The 17,729-nt window shown below is 50.5% G+C and overlaps 1 protein-coding gene and 1 long non-coding RNA gene across 21 annotated transcripts in view, besides 4 other annotated features; one reads left to right on the top strand and one right to left on the bottom strand.

Moving 5' to 3' along the window:
* The window catches only part of SCARB1 (scavenger receptor class B member 1), an 87,009-nt gene that overhangs the window by 66,840 nt on the left and 2,440 nt on the right, over nucleotides 1-17,729 (top strand). For 5 of the 20 annotated variants that reach the window (NR_160422.1, NR_160423.1, NM_001367988.1 and 2 more), the window contains 4 exons: nucleotides 1,757-1,830; nucleotides 9,568-9,619; nucleotides 10,522-10,668; nucleotides 14,214-14,342. Coding sequence is in view for 11 of the 20 variants with exons in the window: in NM_001367988.1 (NP_001354917.1) it covers nucleotides 1,757-1,830; nucleotides 9,568-9,619; nucleotides 10,522-10,668; nucleotides 14,214-14,342 (402 nt within the window). In the remaining 9 variants the exon portion in view is untranslated. Of the gene's footprint in view, nucleotides 1-1,756; nucleotides 1,831-9,567; nucleotides 9,626-10,521; nucleotides 11,323-14,213; nucleotides 14,354-16,323; nucleotides 16,427-17,729 lie in introns of those variants that run through there. The other 15 variants (NR_160420.1, NR_160424.1, NM_001082959.2 and 12 more) reach the window with 11 other exon arrangements.
* Nucleotides 1,676-1,876: a silencer, noted in NCBI's record as "peak2031 fragment used in MPRA reporter construct". NCBI's record gives its function as "represses an SCP1 promoter by STARR-seq MPRAs in K562 erythroleukemia cells {active_cell/tissue: K562}" and the evidence as "EXISTENCE:reporter gene assay evidence [ECO:0000049][PMID:32103011]".
* Nucleotides 5,741-10,262, bottom strand: LOC124903046 (uncharacterized). Its single transcript, XR_007063510.1, has 2 exons — nucleotides 10,133-10,262; nucleotides 5,741-8,518 (listed from the first exon to the last, which is right to left on the bottom strand). It is a non-coding gene; the product is annotated as an uncharacterized LOC124903046 (long non-coding RNA).
* Nucleotides 10,216-10,716: an enhancer, noted in NCBI's record as "H3K4me1 hESC enhancer chr12:125270855-125271355 (GRCh37/hg19 assembly coordinates)". NCBI's record gives its function as "activates a minimal SCP1, AML or CMV promoter by ChIP-STARR-seq in primed H9 embryonic stem cells {active_cell/tissue: H9 hESC(primed)}" and the evidence as "EXISTENCE:reporter gene assay evidence [ECO:0000049][PMID:30033119]".
* Nucleotides 12,011-12,779: an enhancer, noted in NCBI's record as "H3K27ac-H3K4me1 hESC enhancer chr12:125268792-125269560 (GRCh37/hg19 assembly coordinates)". NCBI's record gives its function as "activates a minimal SCP1, AML or CMV promoter by ChIP-STARR-seq in naive and primed H9 embryonic stem cells {active_cell/tissue: H9 hESC(naive and primed)}" and the evidence as "EXISTENCE:reporter gene assay evidence [ECO:0000049][PMID:30033119]".
* Nucleotides 13,976-14,176: a silencer, noted in NCBI's record as "peak2030 fragment used in MPRA reporter construct". NCBI's record gives its function as "represses an SCP1 promoter by STARR-seq MPRAs in K562 erythroleukemia cells {active_cell/tissue: K562}" and the evidence as "EXISTENCE:reporter gene assay evidence [ECO:0000049][PMID:32103011]".

Genomic DNA, 17,729 nt, shown 5'->3' with positions numbered 1-17,729 from the left:
ATTCTAGGCTCTGGGAAGGAAAGCAGGTGCTGAGCAAGAACCATATTGTTTGTACAAATAATTTCGGCCCAGTGAACTACTCTCATCAGTTAGGGGATGGTGGGGACCCTCCTGAAATCTGGGTTCCCAGATGCCAGCAGAATTCCTAAGGAGAGCAGCTTCAGGCCTGTGGCGTGAACTCTGTTCTACTCACGGGTGATCTCATGCCCATCCCACCAGGCTCTCGAGGGCAAGCACTCCCCAGTCGTGGGCGTAAGTGAGGCCTTTAATGAGCTCTTCTTTGCCACAGGGGCCTGGAAGGTCCTCAGCATGCTGGGCCATAATGAAGAAAACATCCTTTCCCTATAGTGTACGTGATAATAACCTAGGCATTTATGGCCCTGCGTGTGGCTATCTTGCATACCTTACTTTTGCTCTTGCAAAAATTCTGTCAGGTCGGGAGAGTTCTCTCTGTTTTACAGATGAGGACGCGACTCTCAGTTAAGAAGAACCAACTGCAGTTCTCTGACCTCAAATCTAGTTTTATTTCCACTATCATTTCCTGACTTCATTCTGGAACCACCTTCCTGTTGTTTTTGATGACACATGTGTGTCACTTCGGTTATTTACTTAAAAAAAAAAGTCTCGTTAAAAAGAGCTGGGTATAGTGGCTCATGGCTGTAATTCCACTGCTTTGGGAGGCTGAGGCAGGAAGATCACTTGAGGCTAGGAGTTTGACGCCAGCCTGGGCAACATAGTGAAACTCTGTCTCTACAAAAATAATAATGATAAATAGGCTGGGTGTGGTGGCTCACGCCTGTAATCCCACTTTGGGAGGCCAAGGTGGGCAGTTCGCTTGCTGCCAGGAGTTTGAGACCAGCCTGGTCAACATGGTGAAACCCTGTCTTTACTAAAAATACAAAAATTAGCCGAGTGTGCTGGCGCACACCTGTAGTCCCAGCTACTGGGGAGGCTGAGGCAGGACAATCGCTTGAACTCAGGAGGCAGAGGTTGCCTGCACTCCAGCCTAGATGACTGAGTAAGACTCTGTCTCAAAAAGAAATAAAAATAAATTTCTGCACAAAGGAAGCTTTTTCTTACTACCTCAAATAGGAAATTACAAAATTCTCCAAAAAAAGAAGACAACCATAAAAATGAACAAGGAAAAAAATATTAGGCTCTATGTAAAATATTGTTGTCTGTCAGCAGGAGTGAACCTGGGGCCAGCTGTCAGCACCATTGTTAGAAGTGGAGATTTTGTGTAGGTGTATTAGAGGGGTATTAAAGACCATGCAAACACCTGGCTGAGACCTACTCTTCAAAATGATCAGGAGGAGTTGGGAGTGAATTGAGAAGGGACTTTTGTCTGTTTTATTGAATGTGGAGGTTGAGAGGGAGCATGGACAAATTGCCATTCTGCACTTTGGGAAACGCTGTCTTAGGAGGACAGGTGAAAGTGATTAGGTATTTTCCACCCTGAGACAGCCTTGCTTTATAGAAGGAACCTCTTTGAGGCTGTGAACATAACTGTGTGGGAAGCACTTGTTTCCCTATAAGGGGTTAGAATCAGGAGAGGAGATCCCAGTGCACCTGCCCAGCATTTCTAGAACTGTTGACCCCCCCCAGCCTGTGGCTTGTTTTAGGTAAGATACAAGCAAGCTCCACTGGGCAGTTAGCTGGGACGCCCACCCTCTTGACTGGGACCAGGGAGAGGAGGGTTGACGGTGTCCCTGGAGCTTGGGGGTGGCCAGTCTCCTCACTGTGTTTGTTGCCGCAGGTCACGGGAATCCCCATGAACTGCTCTGTGAAACTGCAGCTGAGCCTCTACATGAAATCTGTCGCAGGCATTGGGTGAGTGGGGACTGGGAGCTGGGGCTGCATTGCTCATTGAGAGATTAGGTGCTCAGTGCTCCAGTGGTCCCAGACTCCAGTGACATACCCCAGGAACCAGGGCATGGGGAGGGGAGAGGGTCCTATTGGGGGTGGAATCCAGTCCCTGCTGATCTTCTCCCTGAGGGGTCTTGGTTTTGAGCCAGGTCCTGACCTGCATCCTGATATTCCTTCCCCAGAACACCACTTTTCTTTCTCTTTTTTGTTTTGTTTTGTTTTGTTTTTGAGATGGAGTCTCGCTCTTGTTGCCCAGGCTGGAGTGCAAGGGCGGGATATTGGCTCACCACAACCTCCGCCTCCCAGGTTCAAGCGATTCTCCTGACTCAGCCTCCTGAGTAGCTGGGATTACAGGCATGTGCCACCACGCCCGGCTAATTTGGTATTTTTAGTAGAGATGGGGTTTCACCATGTTGGTCAGGCTGGTCTCAAACTCCTGGCCTCAAGTGATCCACCCACCTGGGCCTCCCAGCATGCTGGGATTGCAGGCGTGAGCCACCGTGCCCGGCCTTCACTTTTCTTTTTTAACATTCACCCCCTCCCTGCCAATTAGCCAGAGCTTCAATCCAAGCTGTTTCCTACACGACAGAGTGGCAGAAATGAAAGCCTGGCAAAACCAAATGTTTGAAAATGGAAACGCTGAGGCAGGAGAATGGCGTGAACCCGGGAGGCGGAGCTTGCAGTGAGCCGAGATCGCGCCACTGCACTCCAGCCTGGGCGACAGAGCAAGACTCCGTCTCAAAAAAAAAAAAAAAAAAGAATTTTTCAAGCACTGATTTCCTCTTTTTGATTTTTAAAATAAAACAGCTTTATGCAAATATAATGCATGTACCATAAAACTCACCCCTTTAAAATGCACAATTCAAAATAAAAAAAATAACCCCCCTAATAAAATGCACAATTCAGTGATTTGCAGTATATTCACAGAATTGTGTATCTATCACCACAATCAATTTTGGAACATTTTCATCATCCCCAAAAGAAACCCCACACTCATTAACACTCACTTCCCTGTCCCCTCAGCCCCAGGCAACCGTTCATCCACTTCCTGTCTCTGCGGACTTACCTATTCTGGGCATTTCATATAAATGGAATCATACACTATGTGGTCTTTTGCGACTGGCTTCTTTCATTTAGGATCACGTTTTCAAGGTTCATCCATGTCGTAGCATGGATCAGTATATTTTATGGCTGGATAATATTCCATTGTCTGGATAGACCACATTTATTTATCGGTTGATGGACGTTTGAGTTGTTTCCACGCCTGGGCCGTTATGCATAATGCAGCTGTAAATGTTCTTGTGTCAGTCCCAGTGTGGACATCTGTTCTCGTTTTCCTTAGGTATGTACCGAGGGGTGGAATCGCTGGGTCCTATGTTAACTCTTTGTTTAACCGTTTGAGGAACAGTCAGACTTGCACAGCCTCTGCCCCCCATCCCCATTCTTTTTTTTTTTTTTTTTTTTTTGAGACGGAGTCTCGCTCTGTCGCCCAGGCTGGAGTGCAGTGGCGCGATCTCGGCTCACTGCAAGCTCCGCCTCCTGGGTTCACGCCATTCTCCTGCCTCAGCCTCCCAAGTAGCTGGGACTACAGGCGCCCGCCACCGTGCCCGGCTAATTTTTTGTATTTTTAGTAGATACAGGGTTTCACCATGTTAGCCAGGTTGGTCTCGATCTCCTGACCTCGTGATCCGCCCGCCTCGGGCTCCCAAAGTGCTGGGATTACAGGCGTGAGCACCGCGCCCGGCCCCATCCCCATTCTTAGCAGCAGTGCAGCAGGGTTCCAGTTCCTCCCCACGCGCACCAGCACTTGCTATAACATTACACGTTGCTAGAACTTGGTGAGGGATTATACTGATTTGTTGCTATGTCAGTGTCTGTACTTCTTAGCATATCTGAAATAGTTTCGTTAAAAAAAATTCTCTTAGAAAAATCCCTGGGTTGCAGGAATGTGAGCATCTATTCAGCTTTGTCAAATGCCTCTCGGCTGGAAAGAATAACACTTTGTCAGAGCACGGCAGCGAGTAATAACTGTGAGCTCTCTTCCTTCATCCCGCCCTTGCATTTTATTTTTATATTTTGAGGCCACTTAGGGAATTTGTTCTTGATGGATTTGTGGGTGGGGAAACAGCCCCAGGCATGGAAGAGGCGTTTGCAGCCCAAGTCCTCCCTCTGGTTCCACCGCGTGGCACCTGGGCTGCTAACTGGGATGCAACTGGGGCCAAGTGGGTGACCAGATAGAAGAGGCGACCTGGGGCCGAGGATACAGCCCCTTCCCAGCACCAGCTGACTGTAGCCCCATGGAAATGCGGGCTCAGTGTGGCCACATCCTCTGCATTTTTCAAAAGGACTTCCAAATCTGAATTTTAACAGGAGCTCTGTCAATTTTTACTTATTGGGAGGTAATTCACATTCTTTTTTTTTTTTTTTTTTTTTTTTTGAGACGAAGTCTTGCCGTGTCACCCAGGCCAGAGTGCAGTGGCATGATCTCAGCTCACTGCAACCTCTGCCTCCCGGGTTCCAGCGATTCTCCTGCCTCAGCCTCTCAAGTAGCTGGGATTACAGGCGCTCGCTAGTACACCCAGCTAATTTTTGTATTTTTAGTGGAGACAGGATTTCACCATGTTGGCCAGGCTGTTCTCGAACTTGTGACCTCAGGTGATCCGCCTCCCAGAGTGCTGGGATTATAGGCATGAGCCCTGCGCTGGGCCTAATTCACATTCTTAACAAACAGTTCACGCGGGCAGCTGGATTGTGCCTGCCAGTGACCTGTGGACCGGTCACCCAACCTCTCTGGGCCGCACAGCTGCTGACCTCCCTGTGGACTGGGAACAAGGCACTCCAGGAAAGTGGTCTCAACAGCAGATGTGGAGGGCCACGAGGGATGGCCGTGGGAAAAGTCTAGAGACACAGCTGCCGGGAAGCAGAGCTGTCTCGTGACCTGTCGGGGAAGCTTCTGTGCTCCTTGCTCGCTAGGTAAAGGCAGTGGGGTTGCATGTTACTTGAATACAATTCCCATTGGTTCTTACAAAGTCTTTCAGAGAAAAGCAGCCAAAGTAAATGGTACCGTCTGTTGTCTCCCCATCGTGTTTCGTCCTCTGTAGGGTGATAGTGTGAGCCCATTTCACTGTGCAATACCCTACTTAACAAGGGGCCTGAGAGACCTCCAATAATTGTGATTGGGGGATTTCAGCCTTTTTTTTTTTTTAAGATGGATCTTGCTCTTGTCGCCCAGGCTGGAGTACAATGGCGCGATTTCGGCTCACTGCAACCTCCGCCTCGGGTTCAAGCGATTCTCCTGCCTCAGCCTCCCGCGTAGCTGGGATTACAGGTGCCCGCCACCACGCCCAGCAAATTTTTGTATTTTTAGTAGAGACGGGGTTTCACTGTGTTGGCCAGGCTGGTCTCAAACTCCTGACCTCAGGTGATCACCTGCCTCAGCCTCCCAAAGTGCTGGGATTACAGGCGTGAGCCACTGCGCCCGGTCTCTGATTGTGGTATTTGAGCCTTTTGTGCTGACTTTCGTCACCGCCCCTCAGTGACTTCCATCTCCCCTCCCTACTGCTGTGCATGGCAAAGTGACAGAATATTTGTGTGTCCATTTCTTTGCTGGGATTTAACAATTATAACAACAACAATAATAAATGTGCCAAGCACTTTTATATGCCGGGTAATTTTCGAAGCACTTTACATGTATTACTGCATTGAATCCTCCCTAGAGTCCTAGGAAGAGTTACGTTATAATATCTCGCTTATACAGAAGGGACACAGGCTCAGTAGCACGCCCAAGGTCACAGAGCTCGTAAGTGGCTGTGTCAGGGGTCCCAAGGCCACCGCAGGCTCGACGATTTGCTGGGAAGCCTCAGGACGAAGCATATGGTTGTACACGTGGCTATGATTTATTACGGTAAAAGGATTCAAAGCAAATCAGCAAAGGGAAAAGCCACACGGGGCCAAGTCCAGAGGAAAGCAGGTGCCAGTTTCCAGAGCCCTCTCCCAGGGGAGTCACCCAATTCTTGCTGCAAGGAGTTGTGACAACCCACGTGACATGTCATCTGGCAGGGAAGCCCGCTAGAGAGACTGAGTGCCCAGGGTTTTTACTAGGGGCTGGTCATGTGGCCACCCTCTGCCTGGCAGGTACTGAAATTCCAGACCCTTAGAAGGCAAGCTGGTGGTCAGTATAAACCACATTACTTGTACAGATTGCTCAGGCACAGTGAGCCATCCTTGTCAGTTAGGGAGCAATGGGAGGCCTCCCGAATCCAGGCTCCCAGACGCCAGCTCCGGGCCAGCATTGCCAGCAGCCTGTGTGGGGTGGAAGGGCTCGGGCCTGCCACGTGAGCACGTGCCTGCACAGCGGCCCAGGTGGGATTCAAATCCAGGCAGCGACGCTTGAGTGTGCACTATTAACCACCTCGCCACACTGCCTTTTCTGCTAGACACCTGTTGTGGGGGGGTCTGTGTGGGGCAAGTGGTGAGCCAGCCCACCCTGCTGCTCCATACTGAGTGTGAGTTGCTGTATTCATTTCCTTTTGCTGCTGTCACAATTTTGCCACAAATGTCATGGCTCACTTTTAAAAACTATCTTGCAGTGTTGGGAGTCTGAAGTCTGAAAGGAACACAACAAGGCTAAGATCAAGGTATCTGCAGGCCTTGTTCCTTCCAGAGGCTCCAGGGGAGAACCTGTGCCTTGCCGTTTACAGCTTCTAGAAGCTGCCTACTTTCCTTAGCTCATGACCTTAATCCTAGCCCTCCCTGTTTTGTTGTTGTTGTTGTTGTTGTTGAGACACAGTCTCGCTCTGCTATCTAGACTGGAGTACAGTGGCATGATCTATAGTTCACTGCAGCCTTGGCCTCCTGGGCTTAGGCGATCCTCCCACCTGAGCCTCCTGAGTAGCTGGGACTACAGGCATGTGCCACCATACCCTGCTAATTTTTGTGTTTTTTTTGTAGAGACAGGGGTCTCACTATGTTGCCCAGGCTGGTCTTGAACTCCAGGGTGCAAGTGATCCTCCCACCTCAGCCTCCCAAAGTGCTGGGATTACAGGCGTGAACCACTGCACTTGGCCTCTCCCTCTTTAAAGCCAGCAGTGTAGCACTGTCCAATTTCTCTCTGCCTCTAACCTCCTGCTTCCCTCTTTTTTTTTTTTTTGAGACGGAGTCTCACTCTGTCGCCAGGCTGGAGTGCAATGGCATGATCTCCGCTCACTGCAACCTCTGACTCCCTGGTTCAAGTGATTCTCCTGCCTCAGCCTCCCGAGTAGCTGGGATTACAGGCATGTGCCACCACGTCCGGCCAATTTTTATATTTTTAGTAGAGATGGGGTTTCACCATGTTGCCCAGGATGGTCTCAATCTCCTGACCTTGTGATCCACCTGCCTCGGCCTCCCAAAGTGCTGGGATTACAGGCGTGAGCCACCACGCCCCAGCCCCTCTTTTTAAAAATTAATTTTTCTTTTTTTAGGGTTTTAAAATTTGTTTTTGTTTTTTCGTTTTTCTTTCTCTTGCCTGATTGCTCTGGCTAGGACTTCCCGCTTCTCTCTTTAAGGACTTTTGTGATTCTCTGGGGCCTACCTAGGTATTCCAGGATACTCTTCCCATCTCAGAACCTTGATGTAACCATATCTGCATGGACCCACCTAGATATTCCAGGACGCTCTCCCCATCTGAGAGCCTTGATGCAGTCATGTCTGCACGGTCCCCTTCGTCGTGGCAGGTCACAGTTTCCCAGGTGTCGCATTGGTCTTCCGGTCTCCTTAGGCACCTTTTGGCTGTGACAGTCTCTCATCTCTCCTTCATTTTGATGACAGTGACACTTTTGAGAAGCACTGGTCAGGTATTTTGTAGGATGACCCTCTACTGGGATTGGTCTGGTGCTTTTCTCATGATTAGACTGGGGTGATGGGTTTTGGGAGGAGGACCGCAGAGAGAAAGTTCCAGTTTCAGAGCATCTTGGGTACATTCCGTCAACATACTGTATCACTGTTGATGTCGACCTTGATAGCCTGGATGAGGTCATGCCTGTGACGTTTCTGCAGTATCAAGTTTACTTTTATTCTCCCTTTGGATTTTATTATCTTTTTAACTTGACGTGTAAGTTTTAACTTCACAGGTAATAAGAACATATCTTCCTGAGGGGAAGAATATGGTTTCCTGTGACTCCCCGCCATCCCCAGCCGTACCCACCATCATCAATTTGCTGTGCTTCCTTCCAGGCCTTTTCCTACTTATTTACATTCATATATATGTGGCCATAGAGAAGATACATATTGTCGTTTGTCTGTTTGTCTTTGCTAGTCCAAGCAACACTGAACATCTTTGTGCCTCTGTGTGCATGTGTGAGCATCTCTAGGGCAGTTTCTGAAGAGCGTAATTGCTGGGTCGTGAGGTATATTGGTGGAATTAGGTTTGGCAGTATAGATCAGTAAACTCAACAGTTGTGGCTCAAATGGGACAAAGGTATATTGTTATTTTAAAAATCTTCTTTTAGAGGATGTCTGGAGGCAGACAGTCCAAGTATGGCAAGAGACATTCATAGTCCAAGTTCCACTCATCTTTCTGTTCCATTTTCCCAACACATGGCTTCCATCCTCAAGGTCACCTCTGGTCCCAGTGTCTGCAGAGCTCCAGCCCTTGCATCTGCGTTTCAGGCATCTGAAAGGGAGGAGGGAAAAAAGGTTCACCTCCCAGCTGTGAAAGCTTCTTTTTAAGCAGCCCTCCCGGCCATCCCACGTAACGCTTCTGCGAACATCTCATTAACCAGAACTTGGTCACAGAGCCTCACTTGCCACAAGAGAGGCTGAAGTGGAGTCTTTAACTGGGTGCATTGCCATCCTGAGTAAAATTTGGGTCCTGTTTCTAAAAGGGACCAATGGATTTTGGCTGGGTCACTGGTGGTCTCTGCCCTGTAGGAGATGTGAGTTTTTAGTTTAAAAAGATTATTTTCAAGTTGTCAAGCTCTTTGCCAGGGGAGATTCCTTCTGGCAGCACATCGAAACACTGGTTCCCTCAGCCCATGCCAATCAAGTACCATGGACCCCTTATCCCTGGGGGTATATTCCAAGACCCCCAGTGGATGCCTGAAGCTGGGGATAGTACTGAACCCTGTATAGCATATACTATGCTTCTTCCTATACACACACATCTATGATAAAGTTAATTTATAAATTAGGCATAGCCACAATTAACAATAACTAAGAATAGGGTAATTATAACAAATACTATAATAAAAGTTATGTGAACATGGTCTCTCCCTCAAAATATCTTATTGTACTGTACTGAGGGTAAGAAATGGCAGAAATCAAAACCATGGATAAGGAGGGATGACTGAGATTGCAGAATCAAATCCCTCCTGGCCTCAGAGCTTATGATCACAGGTTCAAAGCTGTGTGATGTCAAACAGCCCTGTGGGAAAACATCTCACCTTGTCAACTAAAGAAAAAAAAAAACAAAACGCCTTTTAAAGATTTAAAGTTAGTCTTATTTACAAGTATTATTGAGGGCTGTAGACTGAGACCTTCAGCCTGGGGACAGTTTTGTCATATGGCTCCTAAAGTGTTTCAGCTCATTGTTTATATTTGGTGGTGAGGGTTTAGTGTGTGCAAAATTATACTAAACCTGTTTAGATGTTGTATTCAAGCAGAATTAGATCAAGTTTGGGTGTAAGACTTTGTTTCACACAGCTATGTCTTGCTTATTTCCAGACAAACTGGGAAGATTGAGCCTGTGGTCCTGCCGCTGCTCTGGTTTGCAGAGGTAAGGGTGCGTTGGGCACAGCGTCGGGGGCTTTTGTTAAGAGCCAATGTGGGCATTTGAGGCAGGAGGCGGGGGGAGCAGCTTGTAGAAAGGGAGAGGGCTGAGCCAGGGTAACCGGACTGTGACATGGACCAGCGTATCAGAAACTTCACCCTGTCCAAGCACCCTATGTCAGTTATCCCACCAAGGTGAAAGGGATCCCTAGAGATGGGGAAGACAGAAGCTGCATGAAGAGGTAAAGTCCCTGGCCCTGGGTGTAAAATAATTTTGTTGGGGCATATGACCTCTTCTCCTGAAAGTGGGGAAGTTGGTTTCCAAGGTGTCAGCTTTTCTCTTAAACTTACTTCTCTCGCAGCTTTTCAGAATTCCTTCTGGCCTAGCTTGTTTTATTTTATTATTTTATTTTATTTTATTTACTGTATTTATTGTTTCTTGCCCACCTCGTTTTAAATCAGGGCTAGCTAATGGCCAGGACAAACAAGCCTCCGAATGTCAAGTTTACTTCCTACTCACAGCCGAATCTGAAGTGGGTTGATGGGGAGGCAGAGCTCTGCTCCCTGCAGTCATTTAGGGTTCCAGGGCCCCGGTGGCCCCGCCATCCTGGAGAGCCTCCATTCAGTGGCAGGGAACGAGATGGAGAGTCACGTGAGGCCAGGTCCACCTCCCATTGGTCAGGACACGATCATATGGCCCTGCCCAACTGCAAGGGAGTCGGGGAATTGTAGTCTCACCTTGTGTCCTGGAGGGAGGAGGTCCCTGGCAGGCTCCAACACATGCTTTAGCCGGGAAGCTTGAGGTGGGGAAAAGCTGAGGCGGGCACAGAGGAAGGTGTTGGGTGGCATCTGCGCTGTAGCCCGCAGCCTGCGGCCCCAGCTCATGTGTTTGTCATTCTGTCTCCTCAGAGCGGGGCCATGGAGGGGGAGACTCTTCACACATTCTACACTCAGCTGGTGTTGATGCCCAAGGTGATGCACTATGCCCAGTACGTCCTCCTGGCGCTGGGCTGCGTCCTGCTGCTGGTCCCTGTCATCTGCCAAATCCGGAGCCAAGTAGGTGCTGGCCAGAGGGCAGCCCGGGCTGACAGCCATTCGCTTGCCTGCTGGGGGAAAGGGGCCTCAGATCGGACCCTCTGGCCAACCGCAGCCTGGAGCCCACCTCCAGCAGCAGTCCTGCGTCTCTGCCGGAGTGGGAGCGGTCACTGCTGGGGGCTGCGCAGCACGCTTGCGTCTTTTGCATGCCGCGTTGCCACTACTCTGCCTGTTCTGGAAGGCCTGGGACCCTCCCTTGGAGGGGGCACAGGTGGGCTTTGAGTAATGAGACCTGGTACTTGCATCATCCATTCATCAAGTCAGCACCCGGGGATGCCAGGTTCTGTTAGGGGCGAGGGGACGTACAGCAGTAGAGGAGACAGCTGAGATCCCTGCTCAGGGGGATTGAGGGGGGCTGGCATCCCAGCCGGGGAGACAGATGAAAACCAAGTAAATCAGCAGAAAAGATAATTTCACTCATGATAGGAGCTGTGAGGGGTTAGAGCCAAATAGAAATACAGCGTGAGCCACGTGTGAGGTTTTCAGTTTAAATTTTCTAATAGCCACTTAACAGTCAAAGGAAACAGGTGGAATTAATTTTAATCTTATTTAACCCAAATATATGCAAAGTATTATCACTTCAACATGTAATCAGTATAAACGGCATCAATATTTTTGCAGTGTTTTTGCATGAAGTCTTTGAAATCCTGTGTGTACGATACATGTGCAGCAGGTCTCATTTTGGACTGGCCCCGTTTCAAGGGCTCACCAACTGAATGCAGCTTCCAGACTGGAGAGTGCATGTCTGGAGCAAGTGGGGACAAGGACAGATGGAGCTTCAGGAAGGCCTCTCTGAAGAGGTAGATAGTGAGCTTTGACATGGAGGCCAGGGAGGCACTCAGCACACAGCCACATGAGGAATGCTGCCTGGAGCGGCCACTGCAAAGGCCCTGTGGCAGGGACAGGCAAGGCACATTGGACGGTCAGGTAGGGCCAGGGTGGCTGGAGGGGAGTGAGGGCAGGGACAGAGGTAGGAGGTGGTGTCTGAGAGTGGACAGGGCGGGCCACCCAGGGCCTCGTGGTGCACAGTGAGCAGTTTGGAACTGATTCTGGGAGTGACAGAGGCATTGGAGGCTTTTAAAGAGGGGAATCACTAGGTCAGCTGCTGGCTGGGGAATGGGCCCCGGGCTGGGAGGGGTGGAAGCCTGGGCCCAGCGGGGAGGCCCCAGTGCGTGAGGAAGTCGATGGCTTGAACAGGATGGGGCAGCTGCTATCAGGAGGGAACGGAAGTGGGGAAGAGCTCCAGCCCTGGGCTTCAGACCTCCAGAAGCAGCAGGAAGAGGGGTGATAACAGTGTCCCTCCTTGCTTCGGGGTCATTTATTTATTCATTCATGCATTCACTGCAAGGCCCTTTGCACAGGTCAGGGGATGCAGATGACCAGAACATAAGATCTGCAGCAAAGATGGGCAAGGCAGGCCTTTAGGCAAGTTACTACAGTCACACGAAGGACAGGAGAGCTGTGATCACAGAGCTCAAGGGGCAGTGGAGATGGGCGAGTGGCTGCCATGGCAGGGGAAGGGATGCTGCCCACTGGCAGGTCATCAGGAAAGGCTGTTTTTGGATGCATGGACCAGAAAGCCACTCTCTGAGGTGGCCCCCACCTGCATCATCCTAGGGCCACAGGCCGAGGCCTTCTGAGGGGCCTTGGGGCTGCCCCGCTGCTCTGCTGGTCTTGGCTCCTCTGCAGCACCTGCTTCCTTTAGCACTGGTGAATGATTCTTCCTCTTCCCCTGTCTCAGGGAAGGCTTGCCTGCTTCCATGCTTGCATGCTGGGTGACAATAAAGCATTCCTGGTTCTTCACCTTGGCTTTCAGACCTGAAACCCGACTTCCTTTCAAAATTCCTGTCCTCGGGGGGAAAAGGTTTCCACAATGTGAGATGGTAGCCTGGACACCAGCTGTCATCATGTTGCTGCTCTAGCGTTTGAGCTCCCGATGAACAATGACCATTGGGTCCAACCAGCCCTTTTGGGAGCCCCCTTCTCTGTTACTGCCCCAGGGGGAGCCAGAACCCAGCAGGGCTGTGACTCCAGCGAGCAAAATGGAACTCCCTCCAGTTTCTAGACTGAATTATGTAGGGAGGACAGAAGGACTCAGAACCCACACTCCCAGACCATGAATACCTTCCCGTGGCAGAGCATCACCATAGGTGTCCACAAGTGACGACGCACAGCCACATGAGGGGGTCCCTGGGGACTGGCTGAGGGACTGGGCCAGAGGAGGCCATGACAGCCTCATCCCTCTGTCTCCTTCTGTCTGTCTCCAAATTGTCCACCAGAATGGGGACAGGGAAGGAGGGTCAGGAAGCACAGAAGGTCTAGGCTGTGGCTAGGGTCCCTTTCCCTGCCGCAGCCCCCAAATCAGCATCCCACCCTCAAATCCAGTAAGAATGCTACGATCGGCAGTGTGGCTCCCTCCCTGCAGGTTTCACTGGAGGCCACGTAAGTGAAATTTATCCCATTATGTGTGTTTTGATGTAGCAGGACCTTACCAGTTTTTTTTGTTTTTTTATTTTTATTTTTTTTGGTTTCTTTTTTGAGATGGAGTCTTGCTGTGTTGCCCAGGCTGGAGTGCAGTGGCACAATCTTGGCTCACTGCAACCTCCACCTCCCGGGTTCAAGTGGGAGCCTCAGCCTCAGCCTCAGCCTCAGCCTCCCGAGCAGTTGGGATTACAGGCACCTGCCACCATGCCTGGCTAATTTTTGTATATTGAGTAGAGGCGGGGTTTCACCATGTTGGCCAGGCTGGTCTTGAACTCCTGACCTCATGATCTGCCGCCTTGGCCTCCCAAAGTTCTGGGATTACAGGTGTGAGCCACTGTGCCTGGCCGGCCTTATCAGTTTTTATGTAATTTGTCCTGATTTAAAAAAAAAAAATCACATGCGGGTAAACTCAACATATTTTAATTTCTCTTTAGAGAAATTTTCCACTTGAGCCAGGTATGGTGGCTCTTGCCTGTAATCTGAGCTACTCGGGAGGTTGAGGTGGGAGGATCACTTGAGCCCAGGAGTTGGAGGCTGCAGTGAGCCATGATCGCACCATTGCACTCCAGCCTGGACAACAGAGTGAGATCCTGTCTCAAAAATTAAAAAAAGCAGTAATTTTTTCTTCTCAAGTCATTCTTTTAAAATAAATCAAAAGTATTTTAACAGAACAATCTGTTCCTCGTTGATTTTAAACAGCCCCCCAGCTAAGTCCACTGGTTGTCGGTCTCCATGGCCCATCTCCCCACCTTGCTTCCTCGCTGGCTTAAATTTTCAAGTGGACGAGCCCTTTTCAGCTTGGCTTGTCCACCTCCCAGGTGTGTTTCCTGAAGATGCTTGTACTTATGTCTAAGAGCGGCAGCTCCCCACATCTCAGCCACCTGCAATCGTTGAGGGTTGTTGGACTCTAAACTTATGTGCCTTTCCTGTTTCCTCTTTGCCTTTTGCAAATTGAAGAACCGTGTAAAACCATTTTTATGTGGCTTCAACGTCAACTATAAATTAGCTTGGTTATCTTCTAGGAGAAATGCTATTTATTTTGGAGTAGTAGTAAAAAGGGCTCAAAGGATAAGGAGGCCATTCAGGCCTATTCTGAATCCCTGATGACATCAGCTCCCAAGGGCTCTGTGCTGCAGGAAGCAAAACTGTAGGTGGGTACCAGGTAATGCCGTGCGCCTCCCCGCCCCCTCCCATATCAAGTAGAATGCTGGCGGCTTAAAACATTTGGGGTCCTGCTCATTCCTTCAGCCTCAACTTCACCTGGAGTGTCTACAGACTGAAGATGCATATTTGTGTATTTTGCTTTTGGAGAAACTGCCCTTCCTATGTTCTGAGTGAATAGCAGTTTTTTTGATCCCAGAGGGCAACTTGTATTCTGTGGGCTGGTGCCTATTTGCAAGGTCACATTAGAAAGACAGGAGCAAGGCTTAGGCCTGCTGCTTCTGGAATCTCTTGTGCAATAGACTCCCCTGGGGAAGTCTGCTAGAAATGCAGATCCCTGGGCAGCCTTCTAGCCTTCTGGAATAGGATCATGGTGGGACCCTGGAATCTGTATTTTAATGGACCCTAATGAGATTCTGATGTAGAAACATGTTTGAGAGGCATTGATCTAAATCTGGGATGACTGGCCAGGTGCGGTGGCTCACACCTGTAATCCAGCACTTTGGGAGGCCGAAGCAGGTGGATCATTTGAGGTCAGGAGTTCAAGACCAGCCTGGCCAACATGGTGAAAACCTGTCTCTACTAAAAATACAAAAAAAATTAGCTGGGTGTGGTGGCACACGCTTGTAATCCCAGCTACTCAGGAGGCTGAGGCAGGAGAATCGCTTGAACCCGGGAGATGGAGGTTGCAGTGAGCCAAGATCGTGCCACTGCACTCCAGCCTGGGTGACAGAGTGAGACTCCGTCTCAAAAAAATAAAACTAAAATAAATAAATAAATAAATACATCTGGGATGACTGACCAAGAACAAAGAATGTAGGCATCAACTGAACACCAACTGTATACCTGGGACTGGATCTGAGGGTAGGATTGCCAGATTGAGCACAAACAAACAAACGAAACACAAGAAACAACAGAAGGGTGCCTGTTAAATATGAATTTCTGGTAAGCAATAAGTAATTTTTATTGTGTTCCTGTGCAATGATAGGACGCACGTATCCTGAAAACCTGTCTGTAGTTCACCTGAAATTCACATTTAACTAGGCGTTCTGATTTTATGTGGCCGCCCTATCTGCTGGGAACATAGGCTGATGCCCCTGGGGGTTCTGCGTTTCCTTGGCCAGGTTCCTGTAGGGCTGAGGTCATGGGGGAGCCGTGGCCAGGGATGGTGTCCTTGCCAGGGGAGGTGACGGGCAGAGCTGCAGGCCCTACAACTTGGGGTTGGGCAGGGATGAGTCGCTCTACCGTGGTGCCTCTGATAATAGCTGTTATTTTAGTTTCTGAAAAATGTGCTGCCCTCAAGAGCTTCTGAGGCTAGGCCTACTTGGGTGAAAATAGCTTTCCAGGGAGCCACATTGTGGGGACGTGAGGCAGCAGCCCCACTCTTTGGGGCCACTTGGCTGTCTCTAACTCATCTCACTTGCCAGGGCTGGACAAGGAGATGAAAAAGAAAATGCCAAGGGGTGGGCAGGCAGGAGCCTGTTGGCGTTGGCAGGCGCTGCCAGCCCTGTGTCCCAGTCAAGCTCTGGGGCGCCCTTCCTGTCCATCTGGGAGTAGGGGGTGGAGTCTGACCATGTTGGGGTGGAGTGTTAATATTAGGAGAGGATCCTCCCTGGGACAGGGTCCCCAGGCTTGGGGGCAAGGCCTTCTGCCTGGACCCCCTTCCTTTCCTCTCTCCCAGGATTCCTCCAGGACACCGTAGTGCTGTGCACGGTTTGGCCCCATCGGTGTGCCTGCTCCTTCCAGCCACTGCTCCCTTCTGCAGAAACTTGCCTGGGATTCCCAGGGTGCAGGGGTGGGGGCTGGTCAGGGGCTGGTCAGGGCCTGGTCAGTGTAGAGCAGGGAGCTTTTCACTTTTAGCATAGATAGAGTGGCCAGGGCCCCATGGCTGCACCTCCCTGGACATAACCAGGATGTCCTGTCATCTGCCCCCCAAACAAAACTGGGGTCTCCCCTTTATTTTGCCAACAGAATCCAATTTTTAGGTGATGAGACAAGTGTTTGACTTGAAAAGACCCTCCTGCCCTGCCTCCTGGAAGGTCTGGAGCCCAGCCCAGCGCCCCGGATCCCCTAGGCATGTGAAACGGGGAATGCAGTGTCCTCCAGTGGCTGGCTGCAGCTTGGGGTGGGCACCTGGGTGGTGGCTGGTGGTCCCCCTGCAGGCCACTGCTGCCCCCTCTTGGGTCCTGTTCTGAGTCTCAGGCCTGAGTCCCTGGGGAAGGCCCCACACCTTTGCCCTGTACCTGGGTATGGGGATGGCCCTGAGGGGCTGCCTTGCTTGGGAGAAGGGGGGAAAACAGATATTTTTATATAAATAAGAAAAAGACAGCCCCTCTGGGCAGATGAGGCCTGCTGTAGGGCAGGGGGCTTGGTAAACTGTGTGTCCACTGGTCTGTAACCCTTCAGCTGGGTCCTTTTGTGCAGTGAACAGCCTGGACAACTGTCCAGGTGGCCCTTCAGGGATATGTTCCTGGACCTTTCTTAGCTTCTCACCGATCTTTCTTCCACGCCAAGTCCATGTTCCTCAGTCAAACAAGTGGCAAAGAGGAGGAGGAGGAGGGGAAGGAGGAGGAACCTGCTTCACCCTCTGGCACCTGCGGGTTTTGTTCCACGTGTCTTCCTTGGGAAAGACAAGGGGTTCTTTTACAGCCTAGGGGTGGTTTCCCCTTTCTACTTCTGAGTGAGACCTTCTCAAGTCACGGCTCTTTGGGCCCACATGGCTAAGGTCTAGCCACCTGTGGGTGTCCTGTGCTGCCTCAGTGGGTGGTGTGGGGGCGGGGCTGACCTCCCCCGCGCCTGGCTCAGTGCAGCAGACCCTGGCCCCTGTGCCCGCTCTCTGCCCTGAGCAGGAGTTTGATTTTCCTACCCCGTGGTGAAGCAAGCACAGGTGGGCGGAGGTGGGCAGCGGTTTCCAGCCCCAGCCACCGGGGCAGGGAGGCCTCTGTTGCTCAGGGCAAGGGAGGCAGGGGGCTTAGTGGGACGAAGGCTCACCCCACACTCTTATCATTAGCATTATCTGTATTTTTAATTTTTAAGTTGAGAAATTTTCTACAACTGTCAAACTAGACAAATGACAGTATCCAGTTCCCCTCACCCAGACGCAGCCATTGCTGACAGCTGTCAGTGTTGAAGATGGCCAGCATCTCATGCCCTTGGTTTCACTCGTTCCCTGGGTGGCCCTCGTCCCCCTCCCCACGTCCTGCGCCCCGCATACCCTGAGCAGCCATGGCCAGGAACTTGGCACGTGGGTTTGTTTTTTCTGAATCTGCATGTGCGCAGCCATGAGCATGAGGTCACTTTTTGAATGTGACCGAAGCTGCATCCTGCTGCGTGTATTGCTGTGTGGCTGGCTTTCCTCCCTGTCTTCTGTTCAGGAA

The sequence above is a fragment of the Homo sapiens genome, chromosome 12 (genome assembly GCF_000001405.40).
Source record: "Homo sapiens chromosome 12, GRCh38.p14 Primary Assembly".
In the NCBI taxonomy this organism is placed as follows: Eukaryota; Metazoa; Chordata; class Mammalia; order Primates; family Hominidae; genus Homo; species Homo sapiens.
Note: the sequence above shows the minus strand (reverse complement) of the source record. Positions and strands in the feature narration are given on the sequence as shown.